General features: G+C 55.8%; 1 protein-coding gene across 39 annotated transcripts in view; it reads left to right on the forward strand.

Moving 5' to 3' along the window:
• Nucleotides 1–20,133, forward strand: part of APBA2 (amyloid beta precursor protein binding family A member 2) — a 232,342-nt gene that overhangs the window by 208,440 nt on the left and 3,769 nt on the right. For 36 of the 39 annotated variants that reach the window (NM_001379685.1, NM_001353790.2, XM_047432424.1 and 33 more), the window contains 6 exons: nucleotides 4,077–4,163; nucleotides 7,186–7,371; nucleotides 10,966–11,145; nucleotides 12,194–12,406; nucleotides 13,857–13,976; nucleotides 19,463–19,603. In NM_001379685.1, the coding sequence (NP_001366614.1) occupies nucleotides 4,077–4,163; nucleotides 7,186–7,371; nucleotides 10,966–11,145; nucleotides 12,194–12,406; nucleotides 13,857–13,976; nucleotides 19,463–19,603 (927 nt within the window). Of the gene's footprint in view, nucleotides 1–4,076; nucleotides 4,164–7,185; nucleotides 7,372–10,965; nucleotides 11,146–12,193; nucleotides 12,407–13,856; nucleotides 13,977–14,618; nucleotides 14,976–19,462; nucleotides 19,604–20,133 lie in introns of those variants that run through there. The other 3 variants (NM_001353795.2, XM_047432426.1, XM_047432427.1) reach the window with 1 other exon arrangement.

Here is a 20,133-nt window from a genome sequence, read left to right on the forward strand (position 1 = left end):
AATGTTGCAAAGCAGCTTTTCCTCTTCCCTTGGTAGGTGAATCTTAGATGTTTGTAAATGAAACTACAGACACTTCATTTTTTTAACCACCCATTTATGGAAGGATTTATTAATTCTTCTTTCTTAGCATCTCCTGTGTACTGTATGGATAATGCTGTGATGTTCCTGTTTTACGTGGACATTTTAAATTGATATGACATTTAGTTGATATGACAACGTGGTGGGTGTAGGGTCTGGGCCTCCTGTGCAGTATTACTGAATTGTTCTGATAGTTAAAGATTCCTTAAGCTTAATTTACTAAGTCAGGAGGGTGAGTAGCTCAGTTTGCCCGTGTGGTGCTTTCTTTATTGGAAATGAGTTTTTGGGCTGGGTGCTGTGGCTCACACATGTAATCCCAGCACTTTGGGAGACAGAGGCAGGAGGATCATTTGAGCCTAGGAGTTTGAGATTGGCCTGGGCAACACAATGAGAACCCTGTCTCCACAACTTTTTTTTTTTTTTTAATTAGCTGGTCATGATGGCACATGCCTGAAGTCCCAGCTGCCTGGGAGGCTGAAGTGGGAGGAGCACTTGAGCCTGGGAGTTTGAGGCTGCAGTGATCTGTGTTTGCACCACTGCACTCCAGCCTGGGCGACAGAGTGAGACCCTATCTCTTAAAGAAAAAAAAAAGAAACAAAAAAAGAAAATAAGTGTTGAAACACTGGCAGACTTTTAAAAATGGGTTGACACTGAGGCCGGGCGCCGTGGCTCACGCCTGTAATCCCAGCACTTTGGGAGGCCGAGGCGGGCGGATCACCTGAGGTCGGGAGTTCGAGATTAGCCTGACCAACATGGAGAAACCCCGTCTCTACTAAAAATACAAAAAATTAGCCAGGCATGGTGGTACATGCCTGTAATTCCAGATACTCGGGAGGCTGAGGCAGGAGAATCACTTGAACTCGGGAGGCAAGAGGTCGCAGTGAGCCGAGATCATGCCATTGCACTCCAGCCTGGGCAACACGAGCGAAACTCCATCTCAAAAGAAAAAAAAAAAGGATTGACATCGAGTCATTTGTTTGTCACCTGGTCATTTAGTAAATGCTAGAGCTTTTCCAATCCTCCTCATACAGAAAATATCAAAATAGTTGGTGTCACAAGGCCTGGGGCAAACCCCGGGGTCCTTGGCACTGGCTTATTGCCCACTGTTTTCTTCTGTTTAAACAGCAGGAGATTTAGTTCCCCCTCCCTGCTTTGAAGTAATGCCATTTTCTGGCGCTTTGGCCAGAAGACCCATGTGGGGACTCCCTCTTCTGGAGTGAGACTTTGGTCCACCTAGGATGTCTGCCTTTTGCCCAGCAGCGTCTCCTTTGATTCTGCTCAGGAGCAGGAGAGGAAGGATCATGCTCATGCTCCTCTTCCCGGGCTGATTTCCTCCAGGCAAGGCAGAATGTGCCACACATTGCAGACTTGCAGTTGGGGTGTGCTTTTCTCAAAAGAGAGGGGCCCTCGCTTGCAGCCTCCTAGTCCAGCTGGAGCAGGGAGTCCCTACGGACTGCAGCTGGCTTCTGGGACCTGCAGGTCCAGCAATCCTACAGAGTCGCTGCCGCCTTTAGAGGGGTTGGTACAGGCAGACCCAGCTCAAAAAGGCCTCTGCGGCCAGTCAGGTGGCCGCCTGATTACATTTAATTACGGTTTGTTCTTCCTTTTTGGAAAGTGGGATGCTCAGTGTCATTGCTGAAGGTCCCTTTCCTGGCCCGGCCACAGCCATGGGGATGACTGCAGGTCATGCCCCCCATCCACAGACATGCCGAGGCCCACCCTGTGGCCTGTTCTCTGGTGTCTGTAGGATCCGTACTGTCGACACCCTCCCTTCTTCTGCCAAGGAGGATGATGGGTGTCCTCTCCCTGCCCTGTTACTGATGGGTTTTCCACTGGAGGCTGGGTGGCTTCAGGCTGCCCCTCTTCTCCCATCCAGGGATCCCAGCCTCAGGTTTCCTCCACAATTGTCACTAATGCCAAGGTCCACCTGCAACTTTTCTCACTTCTGGCTTGACCTACTTTTTAGCAAGAGGATTTTGAGCCACAACCCATGAATATAACCTTTAAATGCATGCTGATGCTGAATATAACCCAATTTTAAAAAACAGAAAAAGTTCCTCCGCGGCTGCGGATTGTCAGCTGCACTGCTTTCAACTCCTTTCTCTTTCTAATGAGTTAAAAGCAAAGAAAGCCCAAAAGACCCTTTCCCTTGAAAATTGAGCTAAAATACACATTTATTATTACAATACCGGGCCTCTCTAAAACTCAAAATTCTTGAGGAATTGTCAGCAGGGAGATTTCTTATTTCAGATTTTCTAGTGAATAATTAAATCATAGTTTTTGCTGTTTCGAAATGGAAAATAGACCACCCTGGGCTCCCCAGTGACCACGGAGAATTATTCACCTCGGTGGGCAAACCAATAGAACTTGAAATTCATTGCCACCGTGCAGTGGTAATTAGGATTCTTACAAATGTAAAAACCAATTAAAGGCTATCCTAGTTTGGGGCAGACTCTGAAGAGTTCACTCAGCTCAGAAGAGCCCATGAAACTCGTCTCACAACCATATGCCAGACATACTACAGTGGCTACAGGTGACGAATTAGGCCATTTGTGTGGCACCTCTCTTGGCTTCTCTCTGTCGCTGTGAGGACAGCACTTAGGCCAGCCCCAGGGCTCAGTCCCCCAAGGACGCTGTGGGATGGACATGGTGGTGACTGATTAAATCAGAAGGAAAGGCTGACATTTTCATTCAGCTTCTCTGACAATGTCTTCCCCATTTCTTAAGGATACTTAGAATCCCAAATCCAGGAAACGTAACCTGAGTCTATAAATTCCACAGGGGTCAGCCAGAGGGCCTTGCTTGCCACTGGCAGGAGGGGCTGTGGCGACAGACCCAGGCGTCCCGCCCCATCTCGGTCAAGCTCCCGGGGGCTGGCCCTCCTCCCTCCCAGGTGCCTCTTACAGACTGCCTCGAGAACTCACACTTAGCTAGATGATGCGGCCGGTGGCGTGCAGGTAGATTTCTGATGGCCAGTAGCATTTCCTTCTACGTGGACTCTGGGTAATTGTTAAAATTGCCGAGCCTTCCTTCGAGTTATTACTTTTTACATTGACGGATAAAATTGTATGTATTTGTTATGTACAACATAATATTTTGGAGCATATACACATTGTGAAATGACTATATCTAGCTAATTAACGTGCATTACATCACCTAGTTTTAATTTTTGTAATGAGAACACTTCATTCACTATCTTAGCAATTTTTAAGAATATGAAATATTATTAACGGTAGTCACCATGATGCACAATAGATCTCTTGAACTCATTTCTCCTGTCTAGCAGGAGCTTTGTGTCCGTGGACCAATACTTCCCCCTTCACTCCTTTGCCCCAGCCCCTGATAACCACCATTCAGCTCTCTACTTCTGTGAGATCGACATTTGTAGCTTCCACCTGAGTGAGATGGTGCAGTATTTATCTTTCTGTGCCTGGCTGATTTCACTTCACAGCATGTCCTCTAGGGTCATCCATGTGTTGGAAATGACATGGCTTTTTCTTTGTGAAGGCTGAGTAGGCCTCCAGTGTGTCTGCGCGCCACATTTCTTTATCCATTCATCGTGAATGGACTTCGGGTTGATCCCATGTCTTGGCTGTTGTGGATAGTGCTGCCGTGAGCATGGGAGTGCAGGTGTCTCCTAGACACGCTGATTTCACTTCCTTTGGAAATATGCCCAGCAGTGGGATTGCTGGATCACATGGTGGTTGTAGTTTGAATTTTTGGAGGAACCGCCATTCTATTCTCCACAGTGGCTGCACTGATTCACACCCTCCCACAGTGTACCAGGGTTCCCTTTTCTCCACCCCACGCCAGTGCTTCTTATCTTTTATCTTTTTGACGAGAGCCATTCTGACAGATATGAAATGATATATTGTTGTGGTTTTAATTTGGATTTATCTGGTGATTAGGGATGTTGAGCATTTTGTCATAATGCTATTTGCATGTCCTCTATTCCGAGTTGGTTTTTGGACTTTAACAATATCCACTGTCCTTCTTAGAATTCTGAGGGGGATGCCCAGACGCTGACGGAAGTGGACCTCTTCATTTCCACCCAGAGGATCAAGGTTTTAAATGCAGACACGCAGGTAAGCGTTTAAGACAGTTGTTCAAAATCAGGTAAACTCCTAAGTTCGACTCCTTCTTGTCCCATGGTATAGGCCCTCGTTCTCAGCAGCTTCTCTCCTGTGCTCTCTGCGCCCATCAACCCAAGGCCCATAGCCCGGGCTGCGGGAGGAGCAAGGAGCGCACAGCAGGTAGCAGTCGTGCTGGCGTCACCCCAGGGCTCTGCGGGCGGGAGGTAGGTGGGAAGACCTGCTGGGCTACCTGGGCCCTCCCCTGCTTCCCCACTCCCGGGTAGCCTGACCTCTGGGGACAGAGGAGGCAGCAGCCCCCACTATGTGGCTCACACTGCAGCCCACCACTCCCAACCCAGTGCCGTGCCCTGACCATCCTCCAGGCCCTCACATACCCTGATACGGGCACAGGGGCGCCCTTCCTCATCCCATGTCTGTCCTGTGTCCAGGCTTGCACCTTGTCCCACTGATCTTTGTGTCCTGCACCCCCCTACCCTGGAACCAGCCCCCTCCTGGAGCCTGGCACTTGGTGAAAACTCAGGGAGACAGGTGCCAGGGCTCAGGCACTGGGCTTGCGACGCTTCACAGACTTTGACTTCATTTTCTGATCTTTTGTGGGCAAACCATCTGGACTAGATCCCCCCACCAACCCTCCGAGCCCCATGCCTCATCACCCACCTGTGCTGGGTGTCCCCAAGACCACCACAGGCTGGGTGGTTTGGAGGACTGACAGGACTCAGTGAGCTCACAGCTGAGATTTATTTCAGCAGATGGCTCCAGAGCAGAATCAGCAAAGCGGATGCAGGCTTCCAGAGCCCTCCCCGCAGTCACACAGGACACACTGAACTCCCTGGCAAGGGGCTGTGACAACAGAGAAGTTGTGTCTACCAGGGAAGCTCATAGACACTCAGCCCAAGGTGTTTACTGGGAGTTGGTCATAGGCACCCTCTGCCTGGCAGCTACCAAAATTCCAGACTCCCAGAGGCAAAAGAGGTGTCCAGCCTAGACCACGTTGTTTGCACAAACGGTTTAGGCAAAAGGAACCATGGTTGTCAGTTCGGGTGCTGGGTACCCTCCTGAGATCCACGTTCCCAGATGCCAGAGAGGGCCAGCCTTGCAGGCGGGCCTTTCTGGGTACAGCTGCTAGGCCTGCCCCAGTACCTCTTCTTGCCAGTGTACATGGAGGGTGCCACACCTGGGGTGGGAGGATGGGCTTGGGGATTGAAGCTGAGCCCCATCCTCATGAGCTGTATAGCCTTAAACAAGTTCCTGAACATCTCTGAACCTCCTAATACCCACAGCCCCAGCTGAAAGAGTAACTCTTCCGCTGGATCCTGTGAAGGAGAGATGAGAAATCTCCTAGGCTGGCCCAGTTCAGGGTTCACTCCACTGGCCCCTTCTCCCTTCCTTTCCTTTCCCTTCTGGATCTTTGGATTCTGGACAGGGCATGCAAATTAAAGCTGTTGGGGCAGAGGAGCTGGAGAGGAGGGAACAGGTGAGAGACTGGGAAGGCCAAAGTAGCCATTCAGAGCAGGAGAGCAGATGCGGCCATGTTGGTAGGCAGCCTCTGTGAGGAGGAGGAGGGATCTGCCATTGATAGGAGCTGGGGAAGGAACATGTTTCTGACACCTGGGGATTGATTCAGGCATTTATGACAGTGACAGAAATCAGGAGATGCTGAAGAGCCACTCCAACTGTTTCCTTTCAGTGTCCCTCCCTGGAAGGTGACTCTTGTGGTTATGAAACAGCCTCATGGCTTTGGCCAGAAAAAAAGTCAGCAGCTGAGACAAAGGTGAAGCAGCATGCACTGCAAAGTGGATTCTGTGAGGAAGAAATGAGGTCCAGAGGTTGCAGAAACACTCGAGTTTCTTTTGTGAACAGAGGACAAAAGCATAAAAGACCAGTTGATTAGTTTTTTTGAGCTTTGTGTGCAGTCTTGTTAGGTAGGGGTTGTGGGCAAGATGCTGGCTGGAGATTCCTGTCCAAGGACAAAAAACCATCAAGAGTCATGGGCCTGCCAGAGGCCGAGGGAATTGAAGTCAGGTGGGCTACCTTGGTGTCTTTTGACCCAGGCCCAGGCTGTTTGGGCTCCCTGGGAAGAGCTCATTGAATGACAAACATTGGCCTTGATGCTTTCCTCTTCTGCACAGCAGGAAGGCCAGGCCAGGCCACTCTTGGGCCCATAGGAGAGCACCTCGTTCAGAAGGGACCCTTCTCCAGAGCCACTGGTGGCCTCTCATCCGGGAATGTATGGGTTTCACTATATGGCAAGCCCCTGCTCCAGCAGAGACAGCCCGAGAGCTCACCTGACATCACGCCTCCCTGGGTTCTGCACAGTCCATTTTGGAAGCTGGGACTGAGATGAGGGCAGAGTGACTTTGACTGTAAATCATTACCCTAAAACGCTCTGTTAATTAGGGCCGTGGTTCTCAACCAGTGTGATTTTTGTCCCTCAGGGGACATTTAGCAATGGCTGGAAATAATTTTCATTCTCACACTTGGGAAGAGGGAGGTGCTACTGGCATCTCCTGGGGAGAGGCTTGGAATGCTCCTAACACCTTGCAGTGCACATGACAGCCCTCCACAATAAAGAATGATCCGGCCCCAAATGTCAGGAGAATCAGGGTTGCGAAACCCGAATAATTGGAGTGCCTTTTTTTTTTTTTTCCTTTCTTTTTTTTTGAGACGGAGTTTTGCTCTTGTTGCCCAGGCTGGAGTGCAGTGGCGCAATCTCGGCTCGATGCAACCTCTGCCTTCACAGTTCAAGCGATTCTCCTGCCTCAGCCTCCTGAGTATCTGGGATTACAGGCACCTGCCACCACGCCCAACTATTTATTTTATATTTTTAGTAGAGATGGGGTTTCACCATGTTTGCCAGGCTGGTCTTGAACTCCTGACCTCAGGTGATCTGCCTGCCTCGGCCTCCCAAAGTGCTAGGATTACAGGCTTGAGCCACCATGCCCAGCCCTGGAGTACTTTTCAATGGATTGTCCCAGTAGTGTTCCCTGACGTGGCACTGTCTCCCTCCCGACAGGAAACCATGATGGACCACGCCTTGCGTACCATCTCCTACATCGCCGACATTGGGAACATTGTAGTGCTGATGGCCAGACGCCGCATGCCCCGGTCAGCCTCTCAGGACTGCATCGAGACCACGCCCGGGGCCCAGGAAGGCAAGAAGCAGTATAAGATGATCTGCCATGTGTTCGAGTCGGAGGATGTAAGTAAGCCCTTGCCAGGGCACTCCCCTCCCAAAGTTCACAGCCCAGGGCGGCTCCAGGATCCAGGCGCTGTGGAAACCACCCTCAGGTGGAAAGCCTCCATGCTGTTACTGATGTTTCCAGTGGATCAGTGATCTTTTGCATACTCTTTGGGTTTGCAAAGATAGTGAATACAGTTTTATTCTACTTCTTGAAATAGGTTCTTCAGGAGCTGTTTATAAATTGAGTTGTGGTTAAATATATGAGGGAGCTATTTGAAGAAATCCCTTTACAAAACATTTTCTCTACTAAAAATGAAGTTAATCTTTGCATAACTTTTGTTATTAAAATGCAAATTTTCGCATGGCCCTGGCATGCTGTATAAAGAAAGCACATCTGCACATGAGGCTTAGTTCTGCCTTTGCGTGTGGTCTTCAGAGGAAGTAAAAAGTGATTCTGAAGTATAAGATACCAAAGACTCAGGAAAAGATCACAAGCCCTTTGGCTCCCTCCTTGGCTGGAGAAGAGTGTTGTTTTTAGCCTGGAGGGGGACAGAGGGGCTGAGGAAGGAGCAGCAGGGCCAAGAGGGGAGCTCAGAGAGGAACTGTCCTTCCTGGAGGCTGATCTTACTCACAGACCAGCAGGGGGCGCTGCTGGTGAGCCAGTTTTGTGGCTGTTGCCAGAGTGAAATTTTAAAATATGATCTATGGCTGGGCACGGTAGTTCATGCCTGTAATCCCAACACTTTTGGGAGGCTGAGGTGCGTGGATCACCTGAGGTCAGGAGTTCAAAACCAGCCTGGCCAACATTGCGAAACCCTAGTCTCTACTAAAGATACAAAAAAATTAGCCAAGCTTGGTGGTGCGTGCCTGTAATCCCAGCTACGTGGGAGGCTGAGGCAGGAGAATTGCTTGAACCTGGGAGGCGGAGATTGCAGTGAGCTGAGATCGTGCCATTGCACTCCAGCCTGGGTGACAAGAGTGAAACTCCGTCTCAAAAAAAAAAAAAAATCTATCCTTCAGGGGCAGTTGGCCAGGGCGTTCTTTTTCACATAAGGACTTGAGGCTGTCTCAGGGACCTGGGCAATAGGGAAGGGTCCCCATATTGTCATGATCCTGACATACAGCATGGAAACTGAAGACAGGGTTCAAACCTTTGGCTGGCGCAGTCATCTTCTTCCTAAGAACTTGGGTCCACTTGAAGTGCTTCGGCGCAATGGCAGATTTACAGGAGGGAGAGAGCATTTCAACAGCGCACTCACACATTCCTTCCACCGCTACACGGAGACCCTTCGAAACCTGGATGGGTATTTCTGTGTGACTGAGGGCCGAGGATGTGTGAGAGACCTGGCTTGGGGATGGGCCACAGGTACTGGCGGAATGAGGCCAGGAGCAGGCCCGGTGGCGAAGGGTGGCAGTCAGCTGGTGAGAGTTTCCAAGGGGCACTGAGAGCCCCCAGGTGCAGCCGATGCGGAGGGTTAAAGCCAGGGTATGCCGTATTGGGTAGATGAGGCCGCAGGGTGGTCCTGCCAGCAACAGCAGCCTCCTCTTCCCCACCTCTCCAGCGCCTGCAGGCTCTGCCCACAGCCCACTTGCAGGAGGCCGCTTGAGCCCTGAGGTGGGGCCTGGGCTGGGCTCCTGGACTCACAGCAGTGAACGCCCACAGGCTTGGCTGCGAGTTGGGGCCGGCAGGGCGACCCCTTCTCTGAAGCGCCAGCCGCAGAGAGAGCCCCCTGAACCCCACACCTCCCAGGAGGCAGCCGGTACCCGGCGTGGAGTGACGGGGAGGCGGCGGCTGGCGGCACACCAGCGGCCCAGATGACACCGGAAGGAGGCGCAGCCCCGCGGAGCCGGCTCCCCGGGCTTGGAGCTTCCGCGGGGGCGGAGGATGTCGTCCAAGGGGAGGAAGAATGGCGGTGGCCCGAGGGAGCCCAAGTGGAGTCCGAGGGCCGTGGGTGGTGGAGCCGGGCCTCCGGGGCTCCAGGGCTCTCAGGCCGTCCTTCCCAGCCAGGTGGCCTCGTCAGGCGGAGACAGAAGCAGAGGCCTGGGGGCCGCCCTCCGCTCTTCCCAAAGGCCCGACCCTCTCCTGCGCGGGCGCTGCCCCCGGCCCTCCTGCCGAGCCCCATCAGCTCGCCAACTCCGCAGGCCAGCCCGGCGGCGCCATCTGGCGGTCCCCGGGCGTCGCGCCTCCAGCTGGGTCTGTGCGCGCGGCAGAGATGCTGGGCGTGGGAACCGGCAAGTCCTGGAAACGGCTTAGGGCCCGTCAGGGAGGGCAGTTCCACGCCTGCTGGAGGGCAGGCCGCCTGCTGCGCGCTTCTAATCCGGCCCAGCTTGTCTTTCCCAATGCATACATTCATCTGCTGCTCTTACATCCTGCCACGTGGAGAGTGGGAAGGGAATTGAGGCCAAAGCCCTTGTTTTCACCTGTTTTGGGATCCTGTTGAGTAGGAGTTTGCTGGGGGCGCCCGTGCAGGACCCCCTTGAGGGCAGTTGGGGAGGCACGTGAGGAGCAGGACAGCGCATAAGGAGGGCTCACACAGCCCAGAGCCTGGCGGGAGGCCCCGCTGTGGGCTGAGGCGTCACCAAGGCCGCCAAGAGCCCCGCCGCGCTCCCAGGGCTGCACAGCTGCCAGCCTGCTTGGCGAGCTCCGGGAGCTCAGTACAGCCCTCACCTCCCACTGTCTCCTGTCTGCGCACCAGCAGGCGGCCGGCCAGGCCCTGAGTGCTGTTTCAGTGTCCAGGCCTTTGCCATGTCAGAGTCGGTGATGTCCACTGAAGCAGCTCAGCGGAAGTAGAAAGAAGTGACGTGCTTCATGGGGCCTGTGTGGAGTCCCAGGTCTCATGTCTTGCAGGCCTGGCCTGGCACAGCCACACATCCCTAGAAGAGCAGCCAGGCACACCCTCTGCCTCCAGTGGGCACTGGGTTCTGTTGCTACCGATAAATACATGCGGGGTAGACAACTAGCAGCACGATGCTCCCGGAAAACACACTGAAAGTCCATTTTCGGCATCAGATGAGTGGAAAGGAAATACAGATGGGGTCAGGTGCAGTGGCTCACACCTGCAATGCCAACAGTTTGGGAGGCCAAGGCAGGAGGATCACTTATGTCCAGGAGTTTGAGACCAGCCTGGGCAATATGGCAAGACCCCTATCTCTACAAGAAAACTTTTTTTAATTAGCTGGATGTGGTTGTGCTCACCTACATTCCCACTCCAGTCTGGGCAACAGAGCCAGACCTCATCTCGAAAGAAAAAAAAAGCAACAAAAATATGACATGTAGTAAATAATTCATTGTTGTCCCAGACTTTCTTTGAAACAGCTTTGACCTGGAGCATCTGGGCCGTGCCACAGCTTAGGCAGGGACAGTCAGGAGTAGACCCTTTGGGGTTCAGGGCAACACTGGGGTTCGCTCACGGTGGAGTGCTGGTGGGAGACAGCCTTCATCAGATGAGGGAGGGCCCCCAGTTTCTTTCTTGTTCTTCTAAGCCCGAGCAAGGGCTCCCTTGAAGGCTTATGGGTGCATCCTGCACCCAGCCCTGCCGCAGCCCCCTGCTGAGGAGGCTGCGGGGAGCCTGTGCCACGTGCCTGTCTCCAGCTGGCCTGCCCTCTGCACAGGCCCAGCTCATCGCCCAGTCTATCGGCCAGGCCTTCAGCGTGGCCTACCAGGAGTTCCTGCGAGCCAATGGCATCAACCCCGAAGACTTGAGCCAGAAGGAATACAGCGACATCATCAACACCCAGGAGATGTACAACGACGACCTCATCCACTTCTCAAACTCGGAGAACTGCAAGGAGGTAAGCCACACCCACCAGCCTCAGGGAGGCCACATTTGCCAGCTTCTGCTCCCTGAGCTCCTGCAGAGCGAGCCTTCCCGGGGTCCTCACGCACACCCTTGCCTTCCTATCAGACTCCAGTGGGGCCCGGAATGTGCACCTCGCTCCTGCCTTCCAGCTGAGCACTTGGGTGTGAAATGAGGTGTTTGTAACAAAGAAGCTGATTACAGTCAGCTTTAATGACCTCGAAAATGCGCCTTTTAATGCTGCTATTATCATCAACCAGCACTCAGCACCCAGGAGATATTTCTGAAAAGCATGTGGCATCTCTAAAGGGAGCCTGGGGGCTCTGGCAGAGGAGGCTGGAAGCCACCAGTAGCAGAGGCCTTAGCTGGTCCCAGTGGCTTCCCCCAGGGGACTTTGGAAAGTTCTTATGGGCAGAGGAGCAAATTCCCTGGGGATGGCCCATACCTGGACTGTTTGTTAAATGGCTGAATGATTGTGTCTGCTGTGGATGAGTGGATGGTCTCTGCTGCTTGTTGAATGGGTGAATGCATGATCCTGGTTTCTTGCTGAAGACATTCCAGGCAGTTTCTGAGACAGTGACCTTTGAGAGGAAATAAAAGTAGAAGGACTTTTCCAACAAGAGTGAAGGCCGGGGGCAGGATATGGGTATGGGAGCCTGAGAACATTCCTCTGGCCTCTGTGGGTGTGGAAGGAGCAGGAACCAGGACACTGGAGCCCTGCTTGGGGTGGGAAGGTCAGTGTTGGGCACGGGTGGGGTTGGGGTCAATGCCAGGCACGGGTGGGGATAGGGGGTCTGTGCTTCCAGGTTCCCAGGATTGCTGGGTGGACCCCAGGAAGGTGTGGGAGCCAGACTGGGGTGAGGCTGGGGGTGGGTGGGCAGGGCTCCCAGCCCAAGACCTCTCCTGGCTGAGATGAGCCAGCCTTGGATCCCAGGGCAGGGCGGGATGTGCCAGGACAGGGTCAGCCTCATCCTCCTGTGGGTCCTTGGCAGAGGCCTCGGTCCTTGCCGCCAGCCCCTCTCACACTGCTGATCCCTTTGCAGCTGCAGCTGGAGAAGCACAAGGGCGAGATCCTGGGCGTGGTGGTGGTGGAGTCGGGCTGGGGCTCCATCCTGCCCACGGTGATCCTGGCCAACATGATGAATGGCGGCCCGGCTGCCCGCTCGGGGAAGCTGAGCATCGGGGACCAGATCATGTCCATCAATGGCACCAGCCTGGTGGGGCTGCCCCTCGCCACCTGCCAAGGCATCATCAAGGTAGGCACCCTGGGATCCTCCGCCCAGGGGTCACCTCAACCCTGCCTCACTTCATCCCCACTTTGCTGCAATCCCCACTTCACTGCAATCCCCACTTCACCCATGGGGAAACTGAGGCCCAGGGAGACCCACCCGGTGACTGGTCGATGATGGTATCAGAATTTGAACTCAAGACCATTCCCCATGTCTGAATCAGAGGTGGACCCGGGCTGGCCTGGGGTGGGAAGGGAGGGGTTGTCTGAGCCCTGTACCGAGCCATGTGGCCCTGGGCAAGGGCCCAAGAACCAGTGAGTATAGGGTGACCAGCTTATCCTGCTTTGCCTGGGACTTTGCCAGGTTAGCACTGAAAGTCCGGCTTCTGGGAAACCCCCTCAGTGCTGGTGGGCTGGGGAGGTGGGGCACCCTGCATGGGTTGGGTTCTGGGACGCAGGTTCCCTTAAGTAAGGAGGCCACCCTGACCGTCAGACTCGTGAGCTTGCAGCTTTGGGAGGTGCTGCCTGTCGCTGTGAGGGGTCAGGCAGAAGGGTCACCGGCAGCTAGGGTGGGGGCCTTCACACTGGCCGCCTGCGAAGGAATGGGTTCTGCCTGCTGCTGGCGGCTCTTGTGACCCAGCTGTGGCCTGGCCCCCAGCCCTCTGTGGCATGTTCCTCCCCACCCTGCTGTGGTCTTGGTGCTGGAGGAAGCGCCTTCCTCCTCTTTGTTCGGCATGAGAGATGAAGGGCATTCCCCAGGCCAGAGCATCCCATAGACTGGCTCTCGGAGCTGGCCCGGCAGAGCGTCTGCCCGATGGGCAGCCACACAGAGAGACATGGGAGAGGCCTCCACCAGTGGCACCAGAGGGCTCAGCAGTTGAGGCCCCCCCTCCCAGGGCTGCAGCTCCCAGGTGGAGGCTTGGGTTCCTCCCTGTGCCTCCTCACCCCCACCGGACCCCGGCGGCCTGGCGCACCCGCTGACAATTGCGTCCTCACTCACAGAGATTTGCTGTGTGGTCACTCCCTGCCCTGCAGGAGGTCCGTCCTTGGAGGGCATTGGGTTTTGAGGAAGGTGTCTCCACATCCTTCCGTAGGAAGCTGTCCCGAATTCGGCATGATGATGGCCCCCTCGACACCCTGAGGGTGACCTGGTGCCAGGTGCGTTGGTTCTGCCCAGTGGCACTCAGAACCTGGGCTCGCTCCTGCAGTGGCTAATCTTCCCCAGGGCAGAGGCACCCTGCGCATGGTGGGACAGAGGGCGCAGTGCTGCCCTGGAAACCTGGTAGCTCTGGTAAGGGCCAGGGCGAGGCTTGTCCCCGCTGCACAGAGGGGCTACCGAGGCTGAGAGGGGACTGCCTGCCTCTCCCATTGTGTGTTCTCACTGCCCCCGGCCTCCACCACCCTGCCAGCCTCGCTCATCCTGGGTCAGGCTTGATGTCTAAGGCCCAGCCTGTGACTCCTGTCCCCGTGCTCTGCAGGGCCTGAAGAACCAGACACAGGTGAAGCTCAACATTGTCAGCTGTCCCCCGGTCACCACGGTCCTTATCAAGCGGCCAGACCTCAAGTACCAGCTGGGCTTCAGCGTGCAGAATGGAATTGTGAGTTCCCCCTCCTGCTCTGGGCCACCACCACCACTGCAGGGCCCAGGGAGGGGGAGCAGCTCCCGTCCAATGGGGCAGGCTATGTCTGGCAGCCTGGTAGGACCTGGCCTGTGGTTGCAGCTGCCCACAGCCAGGCCACCTGGGGCAGGAACTTTCCATGGCTCTCTGGGAGGTCCTGGCTAGAAGGGGAGGGCCAGGGCATGGCCGTGGATTGGGCCCCTCCAGCCTTTCCCAGGCTCCCTTGTCCCCATGGTGGTTGTCCCCTGCTTTGGAGGGAGGGCAGCAGACTTCACCAGCCACTGTAGCTTGGACACAACCAATTGTGGCATCACTTACTGTGCTCAACAAACAGACGTTCACTCATTCATTCATTCATGTACTCATCATTCGCTTGTTCACTCAGCCATTCAGCAGACATTTGTGAAGTACCTGCTCTGTGTTAGGCTTTGTACCAGGCAATGGGAAGGCAGGAGTGCTGCCTGGAGGAGGTGATGCTGGGCTTGAGTGAGTGTGGTTCTGGCCAAAAACCTGTACCAGTTCCCCAGGCCAGAGTTCTTTAGCCCAGAGTTTCCACCCTCTCACTGACCTGCATTTGACTGGCCTGAATTCTTTTTTCCTTTGTTTTTCCTCCTGCAAAAGACCCAGAGGGCAGAGATGTGGCCACTAAGTGGAGTAAAGAAGAAAAGGGCTGGCAATACCCAAATTGTTTAAACCAGCCCTGAGTATGAAGGAGCCCAGGAGGAGAGACACTGCGGGCTGGAGTGGGAGTTTTGTGGAGGTGATGGGGAGGGTGTGTGCCCACCCACAGTCAGGAAAGACAGTGGGAGAACATTCTAGAAGGACTACCAAATCTTCTCCATTGTTTTCTGGTGAAGCAGCATGGAGGGTTACACCCACCGTCAGGGTGGAGTCCCAGGGCTTGGGTTTAGGGTCCATCTCTGACCCTGCTGTGTCAGAGCAAATTTGCTGCTATAAAAAAGAGTCTGCAAATCTCCATATACTGAGAGCTTATTGCTTATTCATGCTGCAGTTTAATTTGCAGTGGGGGCGGTGGGGGTGAGCTTCACTCCACAAAGCCACTCAGGGGCCCAGGCTCTGCCCTCAGCTGGGCTTTGGCAGCCCCCACTGGGTGCTCTGTGTCTCGCTGGCACTGCAGGAAGAGAGGCAGCTCAGAAGACCTTGTGAAGGTTTTCAGGGCCAGGGCAGAAGTGGCCCTTGTCATTTCTGCCCACAGCCCACTGGCCAGATAGCTCAGCCACGGACCCATGGGGAGGCTGGGAAGTGGGGGCCAGCTGGTGCCCAGAACGAAGAGGGACAGGGGCATCGCCAGCGTCAGCCATACCTTCCCTGCTGTGTGACCCTCAACAAGTCACTGAACGCTCACTGGATTCCCCTCAAAAGGTGCTTGTGAAGATCAGCTGAGAAAATCCATAAAGTACCCCAAGCTATCCAAGGTGGGCCCGCTGGTCCTCGTCTCTGCCAAGGAGGAGGCCCCGTGGCCCCTGGACCTGGCACAGGTGCCAGGACGAGTTGTCTGCACCCCACTTGGGACTTCAGGACAGTGCGCCTGCCGCAGGAGCTCGCCAGCTGGTGGTCTGGCCTGGTCCGGCTCTGCCTGACTGCTCTGCACACATGTGACCTGGGCACAAGCAGTTGCCCCAGCTAATTTGGGGGCTCTGCAGAAAATCAGCTGGAGCCCTGTCTGCAGCTGCTGTGCGCACTTTGTGGATGGGCATGGCTGGGCCCCAGGGAGGAGGGCTGGGACATCCTTCTGGGCTACTGCACCCCCGACCATCACCAGGCCCTGCCTGTGTGCCTCCCACCCCAGCACTGGGGACAGTGGAGGAAGCTGGGGACTGACAGCCCTGCAGCCCTCATGAGGAGCCGTGCTGTGCAGAGCCTGGGGTGCTGTATGGTGTCCCCTGGGCTGCCCCTGCCTGGCTAAACCTGGTGACCACACTGCCTTTGCCTCCTGAGTGGCACTGGGGAGCTGCTTGTCCTGTTCCTGCACCCCCTTGCCCAGCCTAGGAGGCAGGTGGGCCTGGGTTGGTGGCCAGTGCTGCTCACTGACAGCCCTGTCGCTGTGAGCCCTGCAGGAGAGGCTGGCTTTCCCCACCATGGGGTGGCCTGGGGGCTACCTACTCGTAGGGCCTGTGAATATAGCCCTGCCCGGGATGAGTTTGATGCCCCCTCAGTCTGCTGGTCTTCCCCAAACTATAACCCCATGAGGAGCACAGGAACTGGAGAAGCTGGGGCACACAGAGGTTTAGTGACTTGCCCCAGGTCACACAGCCATGTGGAGCACTGGTGGGGAGAGGGGGAGAAGAGATGAGGAAGGGAAGGACTCCGGTTTGTGTTTTGTGGGGGCTAACATGAATGGGAAAGGAGGGGACAGCCTGGAGCAGCCCAGCCAAGCCCAGGTGCAGGGTTCTGTGCCTTTCTTCCCAGAGAGCTGGAGAGTGCAATGGGCAGGTGTGAAGTCAAGGCGGAGGGCAGCAGACGGGGACCAGGGCTCGCTCCAGCTGCCTTCTGGGGCAGGTGCAGAGGGGTCTGGAGTAGCTCCCAAAGATGGGGCAAGGTGGGTCCGAGTGGCCAGGAAGCTGAGGGTGGTGGTGCGGAAGGGGGTTTCTCAGAAGATCAGGGGGTGCAGGGTTGAGGGCAGCAGCAGACTTGCGGGGCCTGCAGTGAGGAAGGAGTCATGTGCAATTCTGAAGACAACATCTCCGGGGTGGCAATACGAAAGAGAGGGTGCCACCCACGGCTCGGTGTCTCTGCCCTGGGTCTAGGGTCTGAGTTCCGGAGTGATGGAGGGGGCCAAGCGTCTGTGAAACTTGGGGGGTGGTCTGGGTCACGACTGGGGACGAGGAGGGTCTGGAGGTCCCAGCCCTGCTTGTGGATGCGCTGTTGTTCCACCCTCTGGCTCTGCCTCCCTGTCTGTGAAATGGGGTCCCACTTCCTTGAGGCCTCAGTGCTCAGGATGCAGGGGAGATGCTGGCAGCCGAGGAGAGGGGCAAATGCTGGCTGTCAGGGGCTTTCTCCAGGATACAGGACAGCTCACCCTGAGAGTGCCAGGGAGGGTTAGATGAAGCAAATGAATAGGCATGGTTATGATCCATCTCCCCAGTGATCCAGAAAATGGCATGCAGGCGGCCATATGGATCAGTCACCATCTCTGAGTGGCTCGGCTGCCTGGCGGTAAACACCGGGCCCTTCAGGCCCCCAGGTGCGGACCACACCCTCTGCACCTGCTCCATGAGTGCCCGTGGTCATGGTGGGGGTTGAGGGTAGGGGTCTGGCTGTCCCCATTTGGCCCTCTGTGCACCTAGACACAGAGGCTGTCACAGTGGCTGCCACTTGTGCCCCTGCAGGCCAGGGCTCATCCACCCCAGGGCCATGTCCAGGCATCTGCCTGGCTGAGGTGCACTGGGGCTCCACTGCCCAGCCGGGACCTCCAGGGAGCAATGAGCCTGGGATAACATTCAGGAGACCCGAGGGTGCTGGCTACTCTGGTCCAAGCCCCTCGTCCCTCACAGCGTGCTCAGGATAGGACCCGCAGTCCCAAGGGCCCTGGCCTCTACTTTCAGGAGCCTGGAACCCCGGGCTCCTGCTGTCCCCGGCCCTGCAGCAGTGGGGCGCTTCCCTTGGTGTCACCTCTCTGGGCACCCCCATCCCCACCATGCCCAGTGAAGCTCTCACCTGTGTCCTCCCGTCCTTGCCAGGCCCTTCGCCTGAAGTCCTAGCTCCAGCTGGCCTGGGGCAGCCACTCGGCACCTTGTATCCCGGGAGCTGGTGGGCAGGGACTGGGGTTCCCCTCAGCCTCCATGTGCCTGGCCACCTGGGGAGCATATGCAGGCGCTGGAGGATGCCTGGCTAGGAGTCTATCAGCTCCTGTCCCGACCTGCAGCGGTTCTCCCTGATGACCACAGAAACATTCCCTGTGGCAGGTGGCAATGCTTAGCACCCAGAGCGAGCAGTCAGATGAGATATGGGCCAGCTGCAGAAATCTGGGTGCTGGTGTGTAGGAGACGGGGAGGCCCCCTCACAGTTGTCTGTGTCTGCATGTGTGTGTACACGCATGTGTGTTTGGGACAGGTGAGTCTGTGCTTCTCCCATCCCAGGCCACTCGCCTCCTCCCAGGGCTCAGCACAGTCTCCTTTCTCCAGGATAAGAGGGCCCTGGGGTGGCGAAGGAGCTGCCTTGCGGTATGGAATCTGCCTCTCTCCACCCCCTTCTCTTCTAGTCCTAATTCTCCTTGGACATCCATTTTTCCGGTTTTTGTTTTCATTTAAAAAATAACTGTGGTAAAATATATCTGTAACTTAAAATCGAGCATCATAGCCATTTTGAAGTGCAGAGTTCTGTGGCAGTCAGTCCATCTGCATGTCAGGCAGCCATGGCCACTGCGCTCTCCTGCACGTCTTCCTCCTCCCCAACAGGAACTTTGTCCCCACTAAGCACCACCGCCCATTTCTCCTTCCCAGCCCCTGGCGGCCCCCCACTTCTACTTTGTCTCTGTGATTCTGACTACCCCAGGTACCTCATATCAGTGGCATCACACAGTGTTTGTTCGTGTGCCTGGCCTGTTTCATGCAGCATAGTGTCCCCGAGGTCTGTCCGTGTTGTAGCACACTTCAGACTCTCCCTCCTCTCCAGGGCTGAGTACTGTTTCCCTGCAGGCCTAGAGCACATTCTGTTTCTCCGCTAGTCCGTGCTGTCACCCTCGGCTGTTGTGAACACTGCTGCTGTGAACACGGGTGTGCACGGCGCCTGTTTTCCATTCTGTCCAGTCTCGTGGTCACAGGCGCTCCCAGGCCCTCCTGTCCATCTGTTTGGCGTCACTTTTAGGCTGGAATGGAAGCCCCCACCGCTGCACTCCAGCCTGGGTGACAGAATGAGACCCTGTCTCCAACAAAACCAGAACCAGTATATTTGGCACAAAATGCCCTTACGTCACTTGGCGGGGGGGGGATGTAGGAATAAAGTGACTCTTCCCTGTCGATGTAGACCATTTGGGCATCCGGCAAACAGAGCCTTCCCTTGACAGAACAGATGCCCCACCTTTCTGGTGGCCAGGGGACAGGCTGCCTCTCCTTTCCCGCCCGCCCATCAGCTAAGTGCCTGTCTTCCAGGATGGTAACCAGGCTGTGCCGTAGGAGGCCAGGTGGCAGTGGCCTTGGGCTGTGTCACCAGTCTCTAGCCTGACCACAAAGGGAGCGGCCCTGGGGGAGGTGCAGCTGGGGGACAGGTTCCACCGTGGGAGTCAGAAAACTTGGTGGTTCCCCACACACCATGGCATTAACTCTCTTGTTTTAAAGAAACATACTGCATATCATAAGGATCTCTGTCTGTGAGTCAGCGAATTGCACGTGCACGTATTCATCATGTGGCGCTTTTCCCTCTGCATGTCCCATCTTTGGGGACGTGGTGGAGCGCCTGTCGGGTGTGGCGGGAACACGTGTGCTGACCTGGCCATGTCTGCTTAGATCTGCAGCCTCATGAGAGGGGGCATTGCTGAGCGAGGGGGCGTCCGTGTGGGCCACCGCATCATCGAGATCAACGGGCAGAGCGTGGTGGCCACAGCCCACGAGAAGATAGTCCAAGCTCTGTCCAACTCGGTCGGAGAGGTAAGGAGGGACTTTGAGTGTGCCTCTGCATGCCGGTTCCCACGTGCTCCCGCCTGCCCTCCATGAGCCTCCCCCGCTCCAGAGGACACAGGGCATCTGAAGGTCAGCCAGGCTGTGTCTCCCATCGGGGCTGCTGTGACAAGGGTGAATGGAGCGGCAGGTGATGCGGAGCCATCCCGGTCTGGCTCTAACTGAGCAACCGGGAGGGCACAGGCTGCTGGGGGTGCTCCCTGGACACTACTTTTGGGACTGGACCTGTATGTCCAGTTCAGAAGCTCTGCAGGGCACACAGCTCTGGCCACCCTGGCAGGCTTGCCTCTCTGCCCTTGCTGGCCATCCCCTCCCACAGCCAGGCTGCTTGCCCTGTCCCACTTCACTGGCTGAACCCCCCACAGTCCAGTTCTTTCTGGCATCGCTTCCACGGCAGTGTGAGGATGGTGTGGGGGAGGTGCAGGTTTTCCTCCAGAGCTCACAAGGAGGCAGGATCATTGGGAGGGGGGATGGTGCTGGGGAGGTGGCACATACACCGG

Source organism: Homo sapiens, chromosome 15 (genome assembly GCF_000001405.40).
Source record: "Homo sapiens chromosome 15, GRCh38.p14 Primary Assembly".
Lineage (NCBI taxonomy): Eukaryota > Metazoa > Chordata > Mammalia > Primates > Hominidae > Homo > Homo sapiens.